General features: G+C 38.0%; 1 protein-coding gene and 1 long non-coding RNA gene across 111 annotated transcripts in view, besides 7 other annotated features; one reads left to right on the top strand and one right to left on the bottom strand.

Moving 5' to 3' along the window:
* Nucleotides 1-19,612, bottom strand: part of MBNL1 (muscleblind like splicing regulator 1) — a 222,149-nt gene that overhangs the window by 187,754 nt on the left and 14,783 nt on the right. For 61 of the 109 annotated variants that reach the window (NR_164857.1, NR_164858.1, NR_164861.1 and 58 more), the window contains exon 1: nt 8,935-9,098. The exons of 20 other annotated variants lie outside the window; for them this stretch is intronic. The gene's annotated coding sequence lies outside the window, so the exon portion shown is untranslated. Of the gene's footprint in view, nt 1-8,248; nt 9,099-19,612 lie in introns of those variants that run through there. 28 more of the 109 variants (NM_001387783.1, NM_001387787.1, NM_001387793.1 and 25 more) reach the window with 6 other exon arrangements.
* Nucleotides 8,211-9,052: an enhancer, noted in NCBI's record as "H3K27ac-H3K4me1 hESC enhancer chr3:151986764-151987605 (GRCh37/hg19 assembly coordinates)". NCBI's record gives its function as "activates a minimal SCP1, AML or CMV promoter by ChIP-STARR-seq in naive H9 embryonic stem cells {active_cell/tissue: H9 hESC(naive)}" and the evidence as "EXISTENCE:reporter gene assay evidence [ECO:0000049][PMID:30033119]".
* On the top strand, nt 8,401-15,411 carry MBNL1-AS1 (MBNL1 antisense RNA 1). Of its 2 annotated transcripts, none has more exons than NR_027037.1 (2): nt 8,401-8,588; nt 8,955-15,411. It is a non-coding gene; the product is annotated as an MBNL1 antisense RNA 1 (long non-coding RNA). The 2 variants fall into 2 exon arrangements; NR_027038.1 differs by having other exon boundaries at nt 8,401-8,599.
* Nucleotides 8,651-8,760: a silencer, noted in NCBI's record as "silent region_14825". NCBI's record gives its function as "represses an Ori minimal core promoter by ATAC-STARR-seq in GM12878 lymphoblastoid cells {active_cell/tissue: GM12878}" and the evidence as "EXISTENCE:reporter gene assay evidence [ECO:0000049][PMID:35858748]".
* Nucleotides 9,053-9,895: an enhancer, noted in NCBI's record as "H3K27ac-H3K4me1 hESC enhancer chr3:151985921-151986763 (GRCh37/hg19 assembly coordinates)". NCBI's record gives its function as "activates a minimal SCP1, AML or CMV promoter by ChIP-STARR-seq in naive H9 embryonic stem cells {active_cell/tissue: H9 hESC(naive)}" and the evidence as "EXISTENCE:reporter gene assay evidence [ECO:0000049][PMID:30033119]".
* Nucleotides 9,161-9,210: a silencer, noted in NCBI's record as "silent region_14824". NCBI's record gives its function as "represses an Ori minimal core promoter by ATAC-STARR-seq in GM12878 lymphoblastoid cells {active_cell/tissue: GM12878}" and the evidence as "EXISTENCE:reporter gene assay evidence [ECO:0000049][PMID:35858748]".
* Nucleotides 9,261-9,320: a silencer, noted in NCBI's record as "silent region_14823". NCBI's record gives its function as "represses an Ori minimal core promoter by ATAC-STARR-seq in GM12878 lymphoblastoid cells {active_cell/tissue: GM12878}" and the evidence as "EXISTENCE:reporter gene assay evidence [ECO:0000049][PMID:35858748]".
* Nucleotides 9,511-9,610: an enhancer, noted in NCBI's record as "active region_20706". NCBI's record gives its function as "activates an Ori minimal core promoter by ATAC-STARR-seq in GM12878 lymphoblastoid cells {active_cell/tissue: GM12878}" and the evidence as "EXISTENCE:reporter gene assay evidence [ECO:0000049][PMID:35858748]".
* Nucleotides 16,229-16,918: an enhancer, noted in NCBI's record as "NANOG hESC enhancer chr3:151978898-151979587 (GRCh37/hg19 assembly coordinates)". NCBI's record gives its function as "activates a minimal SCP1, AML or CMV promoter by ChIP-STARR-seq in naive H9 embryonic stem cells {active_cell/tissue: H9 hESC(naive)}" and the evidence as "EXISTENCE:reporter gene assay evidence [ECO:0000049][PMID:30033119]".

Genomic DNA, 19,612 nt, shown 5'->3' with positions numbered 1-19,612 from the left:
AAAAAAAGTCTAATAATAGAAAAAGGCATGTAATAAGTGTGACTTTCACATAATACTAACAAAGGCAAAATAAAATACTGTCAACATTATTCTCTAGTTTATAGAAACATGCTATATTTAAAGACATAAATAGTGTAATTTCTGTATTATTTTTATGGACACGGGCAATCTAAATAACTAATAAGTTGTAAATATTTATAAATAGAATATTTTTCTTGAAAACTGTCTTTATTTCATGGGAATTTTTCTCTGTATATTAAATAAAACATAATCTATCAATGTTCTGACATTTTCTGTTTAAACTATTTTAAACCATTTATTTGTAAAAAGCTTGTAAGGTCCTCAAACTAAAAAGACATGTAAGTATTCCAATAAAGCTTTCTATTCTATTTGAAATATAACTATCCTCCTACTCCAGATAACCATTAACCAAAAGCAACTGTTTATTGATTCCTGTATGTAAATCATTCTGTTTATAATAGTGACTGATTATTAAGGATTTTTAGTTCCAGGAAAAAGAATGCCCTGGTTATACTGATACCTTCCCTAAAATAGCAAGGTCTGAGAAGTATAAATGTCAGCCACATTGAGCACATGGCAAACTTGTTTTATCATGTATCTATCTGCCACCTTGTTTATCACTAAGGATAGGTTACACAGGCATTCTGAGCATGGACTTTAATAAGAGAGGAGAACTGCCTGGTTGACATTGAGACATTTCTCAGCAAATAACAAAATAGGCCTAACGTTGAAATTATGTTTACTTTAAAATTACCAATTTGGGACAAAGAATTTGGTGACCTTTAGATCACCATCCAGTGCTTTGAAAGAGCTTAGCACAGAAATGAAATGTTTTAAGAAATTAACATGTATCTTCTACTTAAGTTATAATCCCTGATAAAATACAATTTTAAATGTTTTTCACTTACTGATATTTTATATAATTCTTAAATAAGGAATTTTTGATTGATTAAAAGTTTTTTAAATTCTTGCTGTATTTTAAAAATAATTGTTAATACCCCCATTGCCTTTAATATCCACATCCAGTCAGCTGGTACATCCTATGCAGCCTAACCTTATCACATTTCTCTCAGCATACATGTCCTCCTTTTCATTCTAGGGCCACTCCCCTCATCTAGTCCCTCATCTCTGTTCTGTATAACCACAATCTCTACTTCATTCTATATGTGTCCTACCCCTATAAAATGTCACCAAAACACAACTCCTGTAAGGTTACTACCCTAAACACCAAGTGTCTGTTTATGTTCCACACTACGTATTATTAAACTTACTAGCTGGTCATCAATGACCTCAAAAGTGTAGCACCAATCTCCCTTGAACACCTGATTCCTCATTTCTTCCTATCCTATTAATGCTTCCCACCCCTCACCCCAGGCCTTTTCTCTCTATCCTCTTACTTTCTGCCCATTCTTCTGGAATCTCTTCAAATGATGTAGAAAGTACAAGTCTTTTAAAGTATTCCAAACGTTTATGTTCTCAAGCTCCTATCAGCATCCAAAATAAGTATTTTTAAAATCTGTTTTTATTCTTTTACACAGGAGCATGGATTCTAAAGCTGGGCTACCTTGGTTCAACTCCTTATTGTGCTACTTATTAATTAAGTACCTTTGCACAATTAATTGGACTTGTCTGTGCTTCAGTTCCCCTATCTGTAAAATCAGAATATTAACAGTACCTATACCATAGGGTTGTTCTGAGGAATAAATGAATTAATTATAAACCTTAGCTTAGCACACAGAAAGTATTCAAAGATGTTAGTAATCATAATTACAGCTATATTCTCATCGCTATTCTTTATATATAATCAGTGGAGGCAAGACAAGAAAAATTGGTTAAAAACATGAACATTGGAATAATAAAAATGACAAGCCTCATATCTCCGCAAATGAAAAAATTGTTCTAGTCATGATCTTTAAGGTAAAAGTCTTATTACTTTACGGCTACTTTACAGTAGAAAAGATTAAATGAGATACCTTACTTAAAAGAATACAGCCAGTGGCAACTTCTACTATTTTCATAAATATTTACACCTTTATAATGTCACAGATTTAGAAACTAGGGCATGAAAAGAGTAAATGGTTTTTCCCCAATCTATTGTTTCTTTCAAGAAATAAACAAAAAAACTTAGTTACTTCAAAATAAGTATATTAAAATAATAATAATATTGATATCACTTCTTACATTTACAAAGGAGTTCCACTTTTAGAAACCTCATGTATCCTCTAATGAGGTCCGTTTTTGTTTTTCTACCTGCCTGGTATAAACATTAGCCTTTTTTTTTTTTTTTTTTTTTTTTTTGAGACAAGAGTCTTGCTCTGTTGCCAGACTGGAGTGCAGTGGCATGATCTCAGCTCACTGCAACCTCCGCCTCCCGAGTTCAAGCAATCCCCCTGCCTCAGCTCCCAAGTAACTGGGATTACAGGCATGCGCCACCATGCCCAGCTAATTTTTTGTATTTTAGTAGAGACGGGGTTTCACCATGTTGGCCAAGACGGCCTCAATCTCCTGACCTCGTGATCTGCCTGCCTCGGCCTCCCAAAGTGCTGGGATTACAGGTGTGAGCCACTGCACACAGCCAAACATTAGACTTTCAAACCAAATTTAGATATAGTGTTTATAAGAACTCGTGGTGTATCTCTTCAGAACCTGGCATCTTGAAACCAAGATCTGGTAAACAGAAACATCAGTAAGGGGGCCTTTGATAGGGGAATACTGAATTGCAAGCCTAGTCAGTGACATAAAGCTTTTCTCATCCATTTCTTACCCACAGAAAGCCCTATGTCCTCCAACTCTTTGTATCTGTCACTTAGCTTGACCACCCTCCTGCTTTCTTTCTACTAGAAGAGTTATCCGTCCACAAAGAGTGCTAAAATGTCACTGTTGTAATCAAACAACACAGAAACAAATAAAATGCTAATGTGTCACTTTTACTGTCATCAACAAATGCTGATAAATTATTGGATATGATTGAAATTTCTGGATACAATAAGCTGAAAATGGGCTGTAAATTCTAATACTGAGACAAGTTAAGAAAATATCTTTGATAATATTCTAAATACAAATATGAACTGCTTAAGTCCTCATCTTGAATCCTTTATATTTAGCATAGCACAAGCATATAACCATGGATTGACTAGTAAACTGTAGTACCAACAGTTTGTAACTATTTAGTGGCTGCAACAGCTGATATTTCATGGTATTCAATAGTAAAACTAATGACAAAATCTATCAATAATCTAGTATAGGACATTTGGAAACCATTATATTTCTCCTAGATAAAAGAAATAAATAAATGAATTAAAACATATATGAAAATTCGATATCTGAATGTTATCTATAAACATATGGAAAATATGGAACCATTGCTGAATAGAATACTGCGTTAACAGAATAATATTTTGCTAAGGCTGAAAAATACTGAATACCTTTTGTTCCCATTATTTATGCATTTAAGGACTGTTCCCTTTATTACATGTATGTGGGTCAAGTCAGAGTTATCTTAAGACTTTCCCTTATCTGAACTTTCATACCATGTTACCCAGCCATTGTTTATTAAATATCACTTTCTACTTTATAGTTATTTTCGAAGCTCTTATTTTCCCTACCAGATTCTTATTTTTTTGAGGACAACGTATATCTATCTTGATTAAGTTTGGTAGATTTCACTAAGTCTACTGTGGTATTTTTTCACAATATGTATTCACTTATAAATCAACTTTATATGATAGAATAATATTTCAAGTCAGCAACGTAATGCTTATTTCATAGAACTAAATGTCCCCATAAATCTAGAATCTTCTTAGCTCTCTAAAACAAGTTCATTTTTAGTTAATAGCTTCTAAACTTTTAAAAGTGAAAACGTAGGAAAAAATCCAGTGTCAAATACAAATTTTTGGAAAACTACTTTGGAGAAAGACATCTCTTCATTTTGTGAATTTAGCTAAAGCAGGACTGGAATGGAGTTGACATCAGCATGGACATCATCACTGGTATTTAGATTTCATATTTACCACAATTCTTCTTAATAGTATGATATTATTTAACATTCAGGTGATTTGAATAAATTGGCATTGTCTTGGGGAAAGTTATATGCTCATGCATGCGTTACATACAAATTGTATGTTCACACTTCACAGGAGTATGTATTTTGCATACCTTTATCAACTATTATTCACCTCTTTTGGTATATAAAACATACATCTCTCAGTTTCCTAAAAGAATGTCAAAAGAGATGATGGTTTTTCTTTTGGAGCATATGAGCATGATATTATTTCAGAAACATCTTCACCTTTTTGGAATAACTGGTCTCTGTGGAAAAGCAATTCTCTACTCTGTCCAATATGGCTACATTTCGTTTTGAGATTAATATTTCCTGAACTGTTTTAACAAAAGATAATCATAGTAACCTAGAGAACATAATCAAAAACAGTAGAAAAAGAACCAAATGTGTAAGACTTAATTCTCCTAACACAAATATTTCAAGATGTGTGTTACACATATTTTTACAGATTTCACAGGCACATATGATGAGATGCCTCTCTAAAAACATGAACGATTATCTGAAAGAGATGTTCTGGATCTGTTATGAAAAAAACTGGTAATATGTAGAAAACTATAACCATGTATTTACTATTTTTTTCCTCAAGGATGTATCTGTAATGCTTATATAAACGTTTATTTTTTATAATATGAAAAACACTACGTAAAAACCGATTTCTCTACCTCAAATTTAAAAATAAAAAATATGTCTAGAGACAGTTAATGCCATATGCCAATAGCTCTTCTTGAATCCTCTGCCTTGCAATCAATAATTCTCCAACCATTAGTGAATATGCTCCATGACTCATCAGAAACAATATACAAAGTTAATGGGGATCATTCTTCCCCTCACCCTCCACACACGCACTGACACTAATGGAAGCTATGCCTCATCTAGTGGAAGACAGACTCAAGATGGCACCAAGCTGAGGCAACTCTTCTTGAGGCTCTATATACAAACTAGCTAACCTCCCCACGAAGAATCCACAACATCCATTTTACATTTTTTGGCATCCTTCGAGAAAATAATAGTAAGCATACTTTATATGGCTAGAAAAGAACCACATTTTTTTCAGCTTAACACTCACTGTGAATGGCAAAATGTACTTCAGTTATGAAAATATCTGAAAGGAATGTTTCCAGGACCTATGCCATTGTGCTTTGTTTACCAGTCAGATGCCTTCTCAAGAATGTGTTCAAATTATAAAGACAGTGTCTCCATGTATAGAAATTCTTCAGAGCCCATAATGTTACGTTAGAAACACATTTTCACCTTTGCTAATATTCAAAACAATACCCTCCTATCTGCAGGTAAAAATCTTTCATTCTTATGAATGCAGCAATCTTTTATTAACATTTGCTCAGGACTTTGGATATGGGTTTTTTTTTTTAACTTTCTAAAGAAAGTTCTAGCAAAAGAAAACACATATTAAGTATTTGAAGATAATTGCTATTTACTAAAATCTCTATTTTAAAATAATTTTAGTGACTCGTTTATGTTTGGTAACTTCAGGACAATGATAACTACAGTGTCTCTAAAATGTTCCTAAGTAACAATCATACTCTATTTTGGCCTTTGAGAGGTGTTAAGACTCATTCTCTAATTATAAGTTTTTCTCTATTATTACTACCTCACCATCAAATCTCTAAACTAAATAGCAGCTTTGAGGAAATAAAAATAGATGTTAGGTGGTGTGTTTTCTCAAATTTTGGTTACAATGGATAAGAAAGACGAGGTATTTCTATGTATAATAAAATAAGCCAATTTTATTGTTTTGACCAGCAAAATCTTTAAGCTTTCTCCCAGAATATTGTTTTCCTGCTTTATCCTAGAACAACACTGTCCAAAATAAATACGATGTTAGCCACATTTGTTATATTTTCTAGACACCATGAAAGAGAGAGAGAGAGAGAGAGAGAGAGAGAGAAAAGAAACAGGTGAAGTTAATCTAGTAAGATCTTCTATTAGAACCAATATATCAAAAATTATCATTAAAACATATCATAAATATAAAAATATTAATCAGATGTTTTACTTTCTTCCCCTCATATAAAGTTTTCAAAACCGGTAGTATTTTACACTTCTCAATCTGGACAAGACACATTTCAAGTGCTCAACAGCCACATGTGGCTACTGTACTGGACAGCACATTCTAGATTTCCAAACATATGAAGCTTTTTGGCCTAAAAAAACCATACACTTTAAAATCTTTCTATGTCACATTCTCTATGATCCATATGGTTGATGGGATTTTATTTTGGGCCAATCACTTCGTGAACCTATTTCACTTCTTTCCTCCACTCTTTTGACTCTCATATCTACTACCCACCCTAATGCCTTTGCATACAGAATTTTAAAAACCCAATCACCTATTCTTTTCAGCTTCTCCTAACCAAGACCTGAGATGTTCTCTAATCCGCACATCTATCACCAAGCAGAAAGCCAGAAGGTGCAGCAAGATTATTTATTCTCTGTTTCCATATAGATCTATCAAATACAGGCCTAATGTATGGCAACAGTGACAAATGCAAGGGCATTTTTTTCTTATAATGAAGATAAGGCATTTTATATAATAAAGTAACACACCCTTCCTCAATGAGAAATACAATTTTCAATGAGAAATATAATTTTACTCTTTTTTTTTCCCCCAGGAGAAATTTTGGGTTAGTCTGTTCTTGTTCTGGAACAAAACCCAGTGTTTCATTTCATAGGAATTCTGTGCCCAAAGGAAGAACAGAATGTTGGAATCAAAATTTAATGAATTCAACTTGGAGTCTAACTTTGCCTCAAATGTGGAAATGTAAACACAAGCAATAATATCTCAAACCATATAACACTTCAGTTTCTCTTTGGCATGACTGCGCAGAGTACCACACTTGATGTGTATCTACACACAAATTTGTTCACAGTTACATAAGGAAAAAAATTAAACTAGGCATATGTGAGGTTTTTCTGAGTCTCTTAGTAATAATGAAATCTGATTATTATGTCTTAAGTGACACTATAATTATAGATGAACAGGTTTTCTGTTGCTGACCCAACCTGTTCCTTAAAACACAAAAGGCAACTTTTGTAGTCTTCAGCAAGGAAACCCCCCATTAAACAAATAAGACTAAAAAAGCTATGCCTACATTTTCAAAGAAGACCTAACAATATAATAATAATAATAAAGTAACTCCCATGCAAATACACAAAACAGATAAAAACTAGAACATTAGGTTTTCTAAAGAAGTTTAGCCTTAGTTGTCACCAACTTTAAGAAAGCAAGATACAAGTGACAGCGATGTGCATTCTCAGGCTACAAAATAACTTATTCAGTGCCTCTATCTATAACTACATCTAAGACATTCTAAGTATTGAACTGCACATTCCTGGGATAAATTTTACAGTCGTTGAACTTTCATTTTCTCTCTGGGTGATAATATTTTATCTCAACAGCAAGGAGAAACACCAACACACTTAGGAATCCACACAGAGAGATAACTGTGGAGTGGCTCTCTTGTGCTGGTATAGAATACTTAGGTACTAAACACCCTCTGTGTATAAACAGACACTGTGTTCAAACCCAGGAGGAAGGGACATAGTGTCCACCGGTGTAGTATTTCAAAGCACGCTGCAGAGGGCTCGAAAGTCTAAAAGCATTAATTATGACTTCTCTCCTAGCGTATTAATTTAAGAAACTCCTCAGAGTATATGGCAGAGTTTGCCATCCATCTGCTATGACTTGTGCCTGTGCTGGTGGGCACACAAAGTGAAGTCAGCGGCAACAACCTTTCCGGCAGCTTCTTAACTTTAATCCTGGGGAGACATACTCCACGGAAATACACCCCAGAATCCCAACAGCCGCATACTCTCCCGGCCCCAGAGAGCCTTAAGAATACAATATTACTCTGGCAGCAACACCCCTGTAGTTGTAAAGTGCTGTGCGAGGGGAAGGCATAAGCGCCACCATATACCTGCTCGTGTTACAGGCTCTGGAATCAAAGTATTCTCACATGACACATTACTACCAATAACAGATTCCGGCTCCGTTTAAAAAAAAAAAAAAAAGTTGGGGGGTGGCTACATATTTGTCCTGCTTTTGTCTAAAAACCAGAACCCAAGTACTAACTACTTTTCATTCTTTTCAACCTTTCATGAAAGCAATTCAACCAACTGCGGCTCCACCCAAAGAGCTTCTATACTTACTTTTCTTACAGTTTTTGAGTGACGCACTACAAAACGATGAAAAAAAAAAGAAGAAGAAGAAAAGGAGGAGGCAGCCCTCTCCTACAGGGCGTCTTCCGCCCTGTAAACTTGGCAAAAGGCAAACTGGCCTGAAATACAGCACTCTCCATATAAGGCAGCCCAGCTAAACATGTCATGCGTAATTTATGGGTAGCAAGCAGAGAATTAACCTTTGCGTGCACATATTTGGCCCAGATGAAAACCGGGCGGGATGGCAGCCCCGGGGCCAGGGATGCGGGAGCCGCCGGGAAGACCCGCGCGCCGCTCGACTCAGAGGGACTCACACCTTCCCCCGACAAAGGTCATTAAGTTGTGAGTACACTTGCACGCACCTGTTTCTCTTCTCGCCCCCCTGTTTCTCCCTGGGTCCCGCTGGGCTGCCAAGCCGTGCGCGGGCTGTGCCGTGACAGCGTCCGCAGAGCCCGCGGCAGGGAAGGGCGCAGGAGCGGCTGCGGCTCACCCTCCCGCCTTCCCCCGGGCAGGAGGTGCTGAGGGACGCGAAACCAACTACCGCGAGCGGCCCGCCCCTGCCCGGGAGAACCGCGGCCGGCGAGCACCTCCTCGCACTTCCTCCTTCAGCCACGGGCAGACCCGCCGGAGTCCGAACAATGAAGCGGCGCGGGGAAACTGTGAAAATGGAAACTTACCTCTCACATTTTTTTTTCAGAGGCGGCCCCACTGTCGACCAAGTGCCCAAGGCATTGTGGGAGTCATGATTCCAAGATGCCCGCGACGGAAAATGGAACTTGTCAGCTCCTTGTCATGGGAGCATTGTGGGCGCCACAACTCATTCAGCTGCAGTGAAAAGACTGTTGCATGTCGCTGTGCAGCCTCTTATCGCCGAGGTCTGGCTTCCGCTGCTGCTGCGCGGCCCCTCCCCCGCCCGCCCAGCCCCACCAGGAAGCCCAGGGCGGACTCGTCGAGCTCCTAATGCACGCGGCGGCGAGAAAAACGCTCTTCAACTTTCCGCCGGCGCCCTCCCGCGCTTCCCCGGGCCACAGGGTCGCCTGTCAACCGGACAGAGCCCGCAAGAGCGGGTCATGGGCGGTCGCCCAGCGGCGCCGAGAGCAGGAGGAAGCCGGAGCCCGCGCGGGCGCCGTGGATCCCCTCGGCCTCCCGTTGGTATCTTCCATCTCATGCGTTCAGCATTGTAACCTCGCGGCGGGCGTGCAGACCGGACGCCCTCCCGCTTCTTCTACCGACTGCTAGGCACACCAGTGGGTTCATTTTGAAAGAGGCCCTTGCACCGGGCTTTGCAAGGAAGCCGGCAAGGTTAGATTGAAGGTTAGAAGCCAATTAGACTAGAATCCTGCGATCTGGTGAGACTGCCGCCTTAAAATGCACCAAACAGTTTTTGAACCTGGAGGGCTAACAGGCGGGAAAAACATCTGCAAGACTGCCACCGTGTATTTTTCTCAAGTAACAGGCTATCCACAGTTTTGGAATTCCTTAGTGAAACTGTCACACAGGCACAAACACATGTCAGCTTTCCTTCTAGTTTGTAAATAATATTTGTAATTTACAGGCCACTGTATTCCCAACTTTGCACCATGTGATTTAGAGAAAGCAAAGCTCCCTCTTTAAAAATAATATGTTACTTCTGAAATACCGGGATATTCCACGGCAAGTAAGCCATATTGTCGCCAGAGCAAATAAACCGCAGCCCCATATCATAATTCACTGGGTGCTATAAGATGTAACTTGGCTTTGCTTTGAATGGAAAGAATCCTGAACGTCTGTGATGTGATGAAGTTTTGGAGACTGGGGGCAGGATTTCCTTTGAATGTAAGGAATTCGGATAACTTGTTCAAGGATGATTCTAGTGAAAAACGTTTGTCCCATGTTTGTTGGGACAAAAATGCTGGATATGGTACAACATTCTTCCTGCAGGTTCGGTTTTGTTGAAGAGAGTGAGGCCAGCTCGAGGTGAAGGAAAAACATCAGAAAGGTGCTAAAGTGCAGAAATATCTTCCAGAGGCACTAATAGCCGACTTTAGTTCTTGACCTTTAGCTAGATCCACAAAGCACTGAGTTAAAATTGTACACTGATCCCTTCCAGAACAAATTAATTAATTAAATGGTGCCTCTTCCCAGCGTTAATCGTTTAAAAGGACTCAAGTACCCACACAGTTTAAGCAAACTAAAAGAACACTGACACTTTCTCAGAGAACAGGGATGGGAACTTTCTATCTGCCCATTAGTATCTACCCCAAGCTACGAAGACTTCCATTCCTCTTATTAAGCATTCAGCAACTACATTTAGTGCCTACTATGCCAGTGATGCAAGAATGGATAAGACAGTCCCTACACTCAAGGATAACGCCTCTAGTAGGTGAGAGACAAACCGATTAATTCTGCATAAGGGATAAGTGCTGTATGTGGGAAGCAATCCAATGAGGGCTCTGAGGATGGCAAAGGAAGGGTTCCTGGAGGATTTACATTTAACTGGTGCCTTGAAAGGTGTGTAGAAGTTGGCAAGATCAAAAGGGAGTAGAGTCCAGGTGGAGAAGAGAAAAGAGCAGGGCAGGCTGGATGGCATGGCTCACACCTGTAATCCCAGCACTTTGGGAGGCCATGGAGGGAGGATTGAGGCCAGGAGTTTGAGACCAGCCTGGGTGACATTAAAAGACCCTGTCTCAAAGAAAACGAAAGGAGCAGGGTATATACAAGGGGTCTGCCAGCCTTCTCAGCCTTTCTGTGAGAAGCGAGGGTAGGGTAGTACAGGAGAGTGGCAGGAGATGACACTAAAAGTAGGTCTGTGTTGATCTAACGAGTCTCAACTTTACTGCCAAAACTAATGAACTAGGAAAGTTTAGGCAGCAAGGGCCAGAGATGGAGTCTGGACTTGTATTGCAGAAAGTTCCTGTGACGGCAGCTTGGAGGGTGAATGAGAGTGTGGGATGGAGGGGTGAATGGGTGTGGACAGACTGGAAAAATGACTCATGCAGGGAATGAGGAAGGGAGGAGCCTTGGGAGACTCTCAAATCCCTGGCTTAGCCTACTGAATTGCTTGCTACTTGCCTTTTTATGTCTTCATTTTGCCTCCCATTGTCTGTGATATTAAAGGCCTAACTTCTTAGTAGAGCAAACTTTGCATCTGCTAGCAGGTTGGTGCCCTAGCTAGCTTCCATGCCCCTCTGCTTAGAATGCCTGCGAACCACTAAGGACTAATCCTAGTGGTAGAAATTTATTTTCAATTGTTCTCAAACCCTTGTAGAATTCCAAGTTAGAACTGTAGTGTTCTTTTTTCATGTGGGTTAGAAAATTTGCTGTTTGGAGCAACATGGTGAAACACAGGACTTTTGAACCTGCTTATGGTGCAAAAGGGGAAATTATATTTCTACTTCAACACTGGAGGAGGGGGGACTTCTGGGAGCAAAAGAGAAATGGAAACTGAGATGAGACATGTTTTTTACTCCATGACAGAATACAAAGAAATACAAGGATGATCCTTTAATGTTAGAAACAGTAGAATAACCATCCTGGTAAATAAAAAAGGAGAAAAAATGTTATTTTACATTAGATACAGAAAAACAGAATGGCTAAGAAAACTCACAAAGCAATGGTCAATCTATAACTCGAGTCCAAATAAATTGTGATATAACACTAAATTACCACTGATTTGGCCTAATTGACTATCACTGGATAACATTATAACATGAATGATAATATTTAAAATTTTAAAGCACTGTAACAAACACCAGATCATGTTAAAACTATTCAATCATGTTGTCAGCTTTCAACTGCCAGTAGCATCCTAACCACATTTCAAACTATGGAAATTACTAAAAAATCATTATTGTAATAAAAAGTTAATAGTTCCTCATTTAGAATACCATTGATATTCCCTCAGTGCCAGGAGAACATTATGGTTTCTCCTATTTCTGTGAAGTGTATAGTCTACAGGTTCATAAGTGAGTATATCCATGAGTATAAAAAGAAGGTCATTTATGGGTGGAGAGGGAAATTATAGAAAACAATTTCAGATGAAATAAACTACATTTTCAGATAAAGGAAAGAGTGTTCACTGCAGGTTCCTGAAATATTTCAGTCCATTCAAGTTTTAATTATACCAATGAATCTCAATAAAAATACAGTTAAGGAATATGGTTTTTATAGATAATGTCAGCTCCTTGTTTACCAATAATAAAGATAAAGATAATGGCAGCATTTATCTTTTTCAGTCCAATGGGGATATTTAAGGTACCTATGTAAGTGTGTGAGTGCCTGTGTGAATTGTGACTTACTTCTTCTGCATACCACATTCATAGCTCAATAAGCTCTCACTGCCTCTGCAATATAACTTGTCTTTCCTGACACACACACACACACACACACACACACACACACACTCTCACACAAACAAATCACCTAAATAAAAATATCTCAAGGAGGTATACTCTTTTAAAATGCTATTTTTATTATACCAGGATAAAAATAATTGATTGAAAGATGGTGTCAAAACCAGAACCTAGTCTCATGTCCTGTGCTTCCTAATCAATATTTAAATATAGATGGTCAAGAGAAGATGACTCTAAAAGGCAATCAAAAGTTGCAAACATTCTTGTATGGAGAATCAAGTTTAAGTAGATGCATTAAATTTATCACATTAAACTTCACAACAGGGTTGAGGAGAGAGGTGAGACCTTCTTTTGTAGAATTCAAACTTGTTCAGATATTTGAATACATATACTTGAGAGAAAGAATTACATGAATTTAGTTTATCTTCAAGGACCTTTATATATTTCATACACAACACAATTTCTTTGTGCTCATTATTTAAAAATAAAAATATGTATTCTAATAGATACTATGTATATATTTGATATATAATACAATATATTGTATGTATAACACGTATATTGCACATGAATGTGAAAATATATAAAATCAATATATTTGCTACTAAATGTTTATGAAATTTAAAGCAGTTAAATATTATGCATTTCTCAATTAAGTTATTTTACCTAAAAGTTGAATCTGTATCTTCAATATCATTATTTTAGGATCTGGCAATAGAGAGACAGTAAGCAAATACATTTTGAAATTAAAAGTTCAAAATCATAGAATTTTAGCATTGAATGGAATGTTAGAGAGCATCTGGCCTTGTTCCCTTGTTAAACCAGAGGAGTGCATTATTTAAGGAACTTGGCACCATGGCAGAGCAGAACTGACATCAGTGTCTTCTGACTCTCTCAGGCCATTCATTTTCATTGTCTTTTTTTTTTTCTTAAAGACAATAAGGACAAGAAGAAGCTCTAAAATAGGCCTAACAGTTTCCCCAGTTTAATGTAAGGAGGTGCTACATGAGATTTCCAAGAGTATAGTTCTTCCTTCCTCTGTTTCTTCCTTCTTTCATTTTTTCCTTCTTTTATTCTTTCTATTTTTTCATCCTTTCTTTCTTCTTTCCATACAGAAAACACTTTTCACACAATGACTCTATTCATTTCACAAACATTTATTGAGCATCAGCCATGGCTAACTCCTATTCTAGGTACTGTGGTTACAGAAATGAACAGCACAGATAAATCACTTCCCTCAAAGGGGTTGCATTCTACTAGGGGGAGACAAGCAACAAAAAATAAGTCAAAAATAAAAAATAAAAGATAAACATATGAGGTAATTTCAGATGGAGATAAGCGCTATGAAATAAAGCAGGTTGGGGGGATTTGGGAGAGAAGGTTGTGTGAAACAGGATGGAGGACTGAGCTGGTCATATGCAGGCAAGGTTCTCGGTGAAGTGAGAAATAACTGGGGAAAGAGCATTCAAAGCAGTGGGGACTGCATGGCAAGAGCCCTAAGGCCAGGGTTCATGGTAGGGCTAGAGAGCCAATGGTGAACAAAAACTACCTAACCTCAAGGAGCTTACAGTCAAGGAAGAGGGAAAAAATGAATCTCCATCAAATTAATCACACTCAAAATGCAAAGCTACAACCATGATACTTTTCCTCACTGGGAACCATTGAAGTGTTTGATTATGTTAGAGGCAGGGGTGGGGTGGGGTGATGGAACATTATCTAAATTTTGTTTTCACAAAGATAACTAGATAACTCTTGACTGCTGTGTAAAGGCTGATAGTCTAATCTCAGAAGAGACTGCATGAAGTCCACCACTGCTGAGAATGACAGCAAACCAAAAGTGGGCTCTGTCTAGGAGGCAACAGACAGCAAATGGCTGGGGACCCAGCAGCGGAATGTGATTTGGTTGAAGACCCTCGGCAATGGGGTACAACAAACCTTAGAACCTTACATCTCAGAGTTGAAGAGAAGCCATAAGACTCATGATCCTCGAGATAACATAACTTGAGGGAAGGGAGATGTGGTATGCCTGTTTGTGTGTGACTTATTTATTATTTGGAGTCAACACAATGTAGAAAATTCGAAATTAGTGAAGGTAGAATATTTTGATATCAGCAGTGTTTCCAGTTCCCAGAGATAGGGAACTGTTTGTATTACAGTTTATTTCCTTCTAGGCTTTTCCAATGCATTTTTAAAAGCATAGTTAATATTGTACTATATATGCAATTTCTTTTCCAAATTTAATCTTTTAAGACAATCTTATAAAACAAAGGCCACCTCCCCCATGTCATTTATATATAATCTTCATTTTTCATGAGGTAATGGAAGCTGGAGAGTTGGCCCTTGACCAAAGCCTTGCAGCTAACAAGAGGACAAGCCTCCTGCCCCACAGTGTTTCACAGCCAGTACCCCAAGCTCCTGAATTCATCTGTCTAATGTGTAATATATTTATAAACACTCTACCTGGGATGTATGCGTACCTTCTACTATGGACTGTTGTTAAAGACAAGTAAATATGCAATCGTGGTCTTTCAATAAACTAAACGGATATAAAAATAAATATAGAATACAGCCAGAAGATCAAAATTGACATATTATCTATTTATGCTTATAATATGTAATTACATGTAATATTGTAAAACACTTTCTACCATTTCATAAAATTCTGTGTTGTTATTTAGCCCAGAATTCCCTTGCAATCTTTTAAAAATAGTATCTAATAGGGCTTTTAATATAAATGTCGTAGTGAAACTGTTTTATGTACTGTAACCCAAACATTTCTACGTAGTAACACTGTTCCATATAGAAAACAAATATGAAAAAATATGGCCATTGTCTTATTTATTTCTAAAGGTAAACCAATCTTTGACAATGCCAATAGCAGTGTCAATGTTCCTAAATGTTGGCTGTATCTATCTACTTACTCATTGTATTCTTGAGGTTCCTTTCCTTTGGTTTCTATGATATTCCACATCCCTCTCTTTTCATTCCATTGTGTGAGTTCTCTCTGTGGATCTTTTGTTAGCTCCTCTTATTCCTTCTTGCCTATCTGAGTTTCCTGAAATTACCTTCAAATCATGTCTCGAAAGATGTTCTAAAGAGACCTTTGAATAAGAACAACATTTGTCCCATTAATAAATGGTGGGAGTTTCATATATCTGTTTCTTTTTCTCTTCTTTCCTCTTTGCCTTGTCCAAAAGAGTGGGAACTGAGCAGTACAGTCATAAATTAATTTTAATATATTAACTTAGGCATCAGTACACTGGCTATTGTTCCTTAATACATTTAACACATAGTCATTGACTGCTGATTATGTGCCAAGGGCTGTGCTTGGCACTGGGGATAAAGAAGTTATTAAGTCTTTTGCAAGGTGTTCATAGTCTAGCGGTTGGGGACAGACGTGAGGGAAAAATCACAGTTGGAAAAGAGCGTAGCAAATGAAACCATTCAGTTAAATTCAACAAACCCTGCGTGCTTACCATGTGCCAAGCAGATGGCAAGGAGGATAGGACTGGGCAAGGCCTTGCTCCTCACGGACTCCCAAGCAGCTGGCAAATGGTAAAACTACCTGATACTTGTTAAGAGCTTCATGGCAGAAAGAAAGTCAGAAAAAAAGTCATGAAAGGCTATTGGACAGACAAGAGGCTTGATCAGAAAAACACTTTTAACAAATATTGTCCTAGCAACATGAGGAGAAAGTTTGTTGTTCAGATTTTTCATGCTGTCATTATGGAAAGCTTACTACATGTCAGGTTTCTTTCCTAGAGGCTGAGGCTTCCTTGGCTTGCCTCAGTGAATCCCAAACTGGCCTTGCAACTCTCTCTCTTTGCCTCCCCTAGGCTTTCGGTAACAAATCCTCAACTAGGTGATAGGAGATTATCTGATTAAAGTCATTCACACTAAGGCGAGAATGAGGCTTAATCCCTCAAGAGCGTTTGCTTTAACAAAGGATAGCTTGTTAACCCTAATGAACTGCTCATTGGAAGAACTCTGCAGAAGGATCCCTCCTCCTCACCTTCCCAGACTTGCCAACCCCATGTCCTTCCTTTTTATTTGTCTTTCATGAAGCAAAGGAGTAATGAAAGTGTTAAGGACTCTAAGGTCACACATTATCTCCTTGAACTTAAAACAAGAGGTATGTGAGGTAATTATGACCCCATGCTCATAATGAGGAGACTGAAACTAGGGCGGTGGTTCTTAACCCTGACTACATTTTGGATAGGCCGGCTGCAACTCAGACAAATTAAATCAAAATTTCTGGGAGGGGCATCCAAGCGTCTGTATCTTTTTTAAGCCCCTTAGATGATTTCAAAGCGCAGCCAAGGTTGCCAGCTTCTTGCCTAAACTCTGCAAGAAGCTAGAGTTTAGGAAATGGAAATTAACCAGAATAGGTAGCAATCCATTGACCTGTTCCATTTTTTCCTTTGGCAAGTAAAGTTTATTTGGCTCAATAGAAACAGAATTATCTGCAGGAAACTCGATCTCATATAGAATTAGATTTGGGTAGGCTGGTGCCCATATGCATCTAGAAATGAGGGAGTTAGGACTAGCTGTGGATAGCTAAACTGGTGGTGCAAGGTGGTACATTTTGTCATGCACATGCTTGGAAGTGGTGCTTCTTAGGCAACCAAAATATGTTTCACTTTATGCCGGGTAAGCATTAGTGGTCCATAGGATTAAAAACAGATAAGACAAAGAGTTAAGATCACACAAAGGAGAATCCTACATATTCTAAAATGCTTAGTTTGCTGTTTGTTTAAAATTCTATACCCTGTCTCTTGCTAAGAAATTGTGATTATAAGCACCCCCTTGAGAGTGACATCAGAGCCTCTGAGAGATAAAGTGTGTCCTTGGCCACTTCCTTTTGAAGATATACATATCTTCACCAGTTACATACTCATACATGTAATTATGTGTATTCAACAAAAGCTATTCTGTACATTCAATATATTTTATAAATTCGTTCAATAAATTAACATAGTTAAATTATAAACACAAACAAGTTAGCAGAACATACCTCACTTGAAACTCATTTGAAGATAATGCTAGACATCTTAGTTTATGGCCTTCGTGAATGTGCCGTCAGTCCAGTTGACCCTCCTGGCCCCACCTGGATGGATCTGAATGCCCATGTTTCTGCAATGGGCTTAGCAATGAGTAACTGCTGACAGGGCCTGATTCCATCGAGCCCTCCCAGTAATGAATGTGTTTTTAGACAATGTGGAGCATTCTTTTCCTTTTTCAAACTTTTCTGGCCATAGGTCACCAGCTCACCAGTTACTGCTGCATTTTCATTCTAAACCTTATTGCTATCAACTTTCCTATCCAGTCTACAATAGTCACTGAGCACCTGGCATAATTCCAGTCTTTCCTAGAGTCTGAGGCTACATGGTAAGAAAAACTAGACCTGAAGCCTCTTGAAATATGCAGTATAACAAGGACAATGAATATGAAATGGTAAATAATTATGATCAACTAAGTAAATAATATAAATGTGCAAAATTTAGTGAATGAGAAAAATGAGAGTGTGTATCTGGTGAATCTAAACAGATAAACAATTATAATTATTTTATTGCTCTCTCCCTTTTTTATTGAATTCAAATGTCTCACATTATAGTTGAAAGTCTTCACAGTATTTGTACTACATGTGCACATTGAATTCTTCTTCATTTGTAAGGACAGAATTCTATTACTAGTTGCATGAAATAGTGACTATTTGTGTTAAGTGGCAAGGTGTCCATCACATAGCCTCTAAAGGCAGGGTCGGAAGAAATCTCTGACTGATCATTAGTACTATGCTCTTGCTGTTGCAGTCTTTGGTGTTACTGTCATTCACTTCCTGGGCTTAATCTTTTAAGGGTATGATATCTACAGACAAAGCTAGCCAGCTTATCTTTGATAACTTCAAGAAGTACAGCATGTCGGCTTTTGGATTAATATTTGAAAATAAAATAAAAATTTAATTTTATTATCACTTGTTTTGTCAAAAATCAAAGGCTCTTTTAAAATCTTTTTTGGCTGGATGTAAAATGATTTTTTTCTGTTTCTGGATATAAGGTAACCTGTGCTTATTTTGAATGATGTATCAAGTGCCTTTAATAGAAGTTTAACGATTCTGTTCAAGTTACTACTATAAAGATGTTTATGCATAGTTATTCTAGACTAGCAAAAGAGCAGTAATCTATAACTCCCACCCACATACTTACTCCCATGCACAGTGTTTCTTCCTTCTACAGCTTTAAGACTCCCACGCTTCTGCAAAAGCACTTTCCTACTTGTCATTTAGTCTTTACAATTAAGTAAAGAAAAAGTTAATTGTATAAAAGAAGCTGGTTTCTTGGACCTCTCTCTTTATGGAGTTGTACTCTCTAAAGATAGCCTAAATTATAGACTTAGCCAGGACAGTTTTTCCCCTTCGGAGACCTTTGAAGTTTGTTTATTCTTACAAAGCTCTGGAAGGCTCGTCTGAAAGAAGCTGTAAATAATTTGCCAAGGTCCCTAAATACCAAGAAGCCCACGTGGACACTAGAAGGTGTCAACTTTTCTTGATTACTCTTGAACTTGTGGGAAAGGGAATGTTTGGCACCAATATCAGATTCATAGAAGGCAGCCAAAATTAATTGTTAGAAAGAAGGTATGCTTAGACGATATGTGGCATAACTTTGGGCATTTTCCTTCCCATGATGAAAGAAGCAGCCGATGAAGTAAATCTGTTTTGTTTATGACTAGATTACTCAGTGACTAAAAGGAAAACACTGTCTACTTTGGGGTTATTGGCAACAGATATATACATACCAAGTATGACACATGGGCTAGTTTCCACTGGCAGTAGTTATTGATGTTGCAACCTTGGTCTTTGCTGCAACCTTGCCCTGCTGCCTTTGTTGTTGGCTGCTCTTGGCAACAGGGCATACCCACCTCCCCCTGACAACCAACTTGGTGCAATGGCCTGCACATGACCCACACACTTTTTAGAAGAATCAGGGCAGGAAAAGATTAAGTGTAATTTCCCATGGCCTTGGCTATT

The sequence above is a fragment of the Homo sapiens genome, chromosome 3, assembly GCF_000001405.40.
Source record: "Homo sapiens chromosome 3, GRCh38.p14 Primary Assembly".
Classification (NCBI taxonomy): Eukaryota; Metazoa; Chordata; class Mammalia; order Primates; family Hominidae; genus Homo; species Homo sapiens.
Note: the sequence above shows the minus strand (reverse complement) of the source record. Positions and strands in the feature narration are given on the sequence as shown.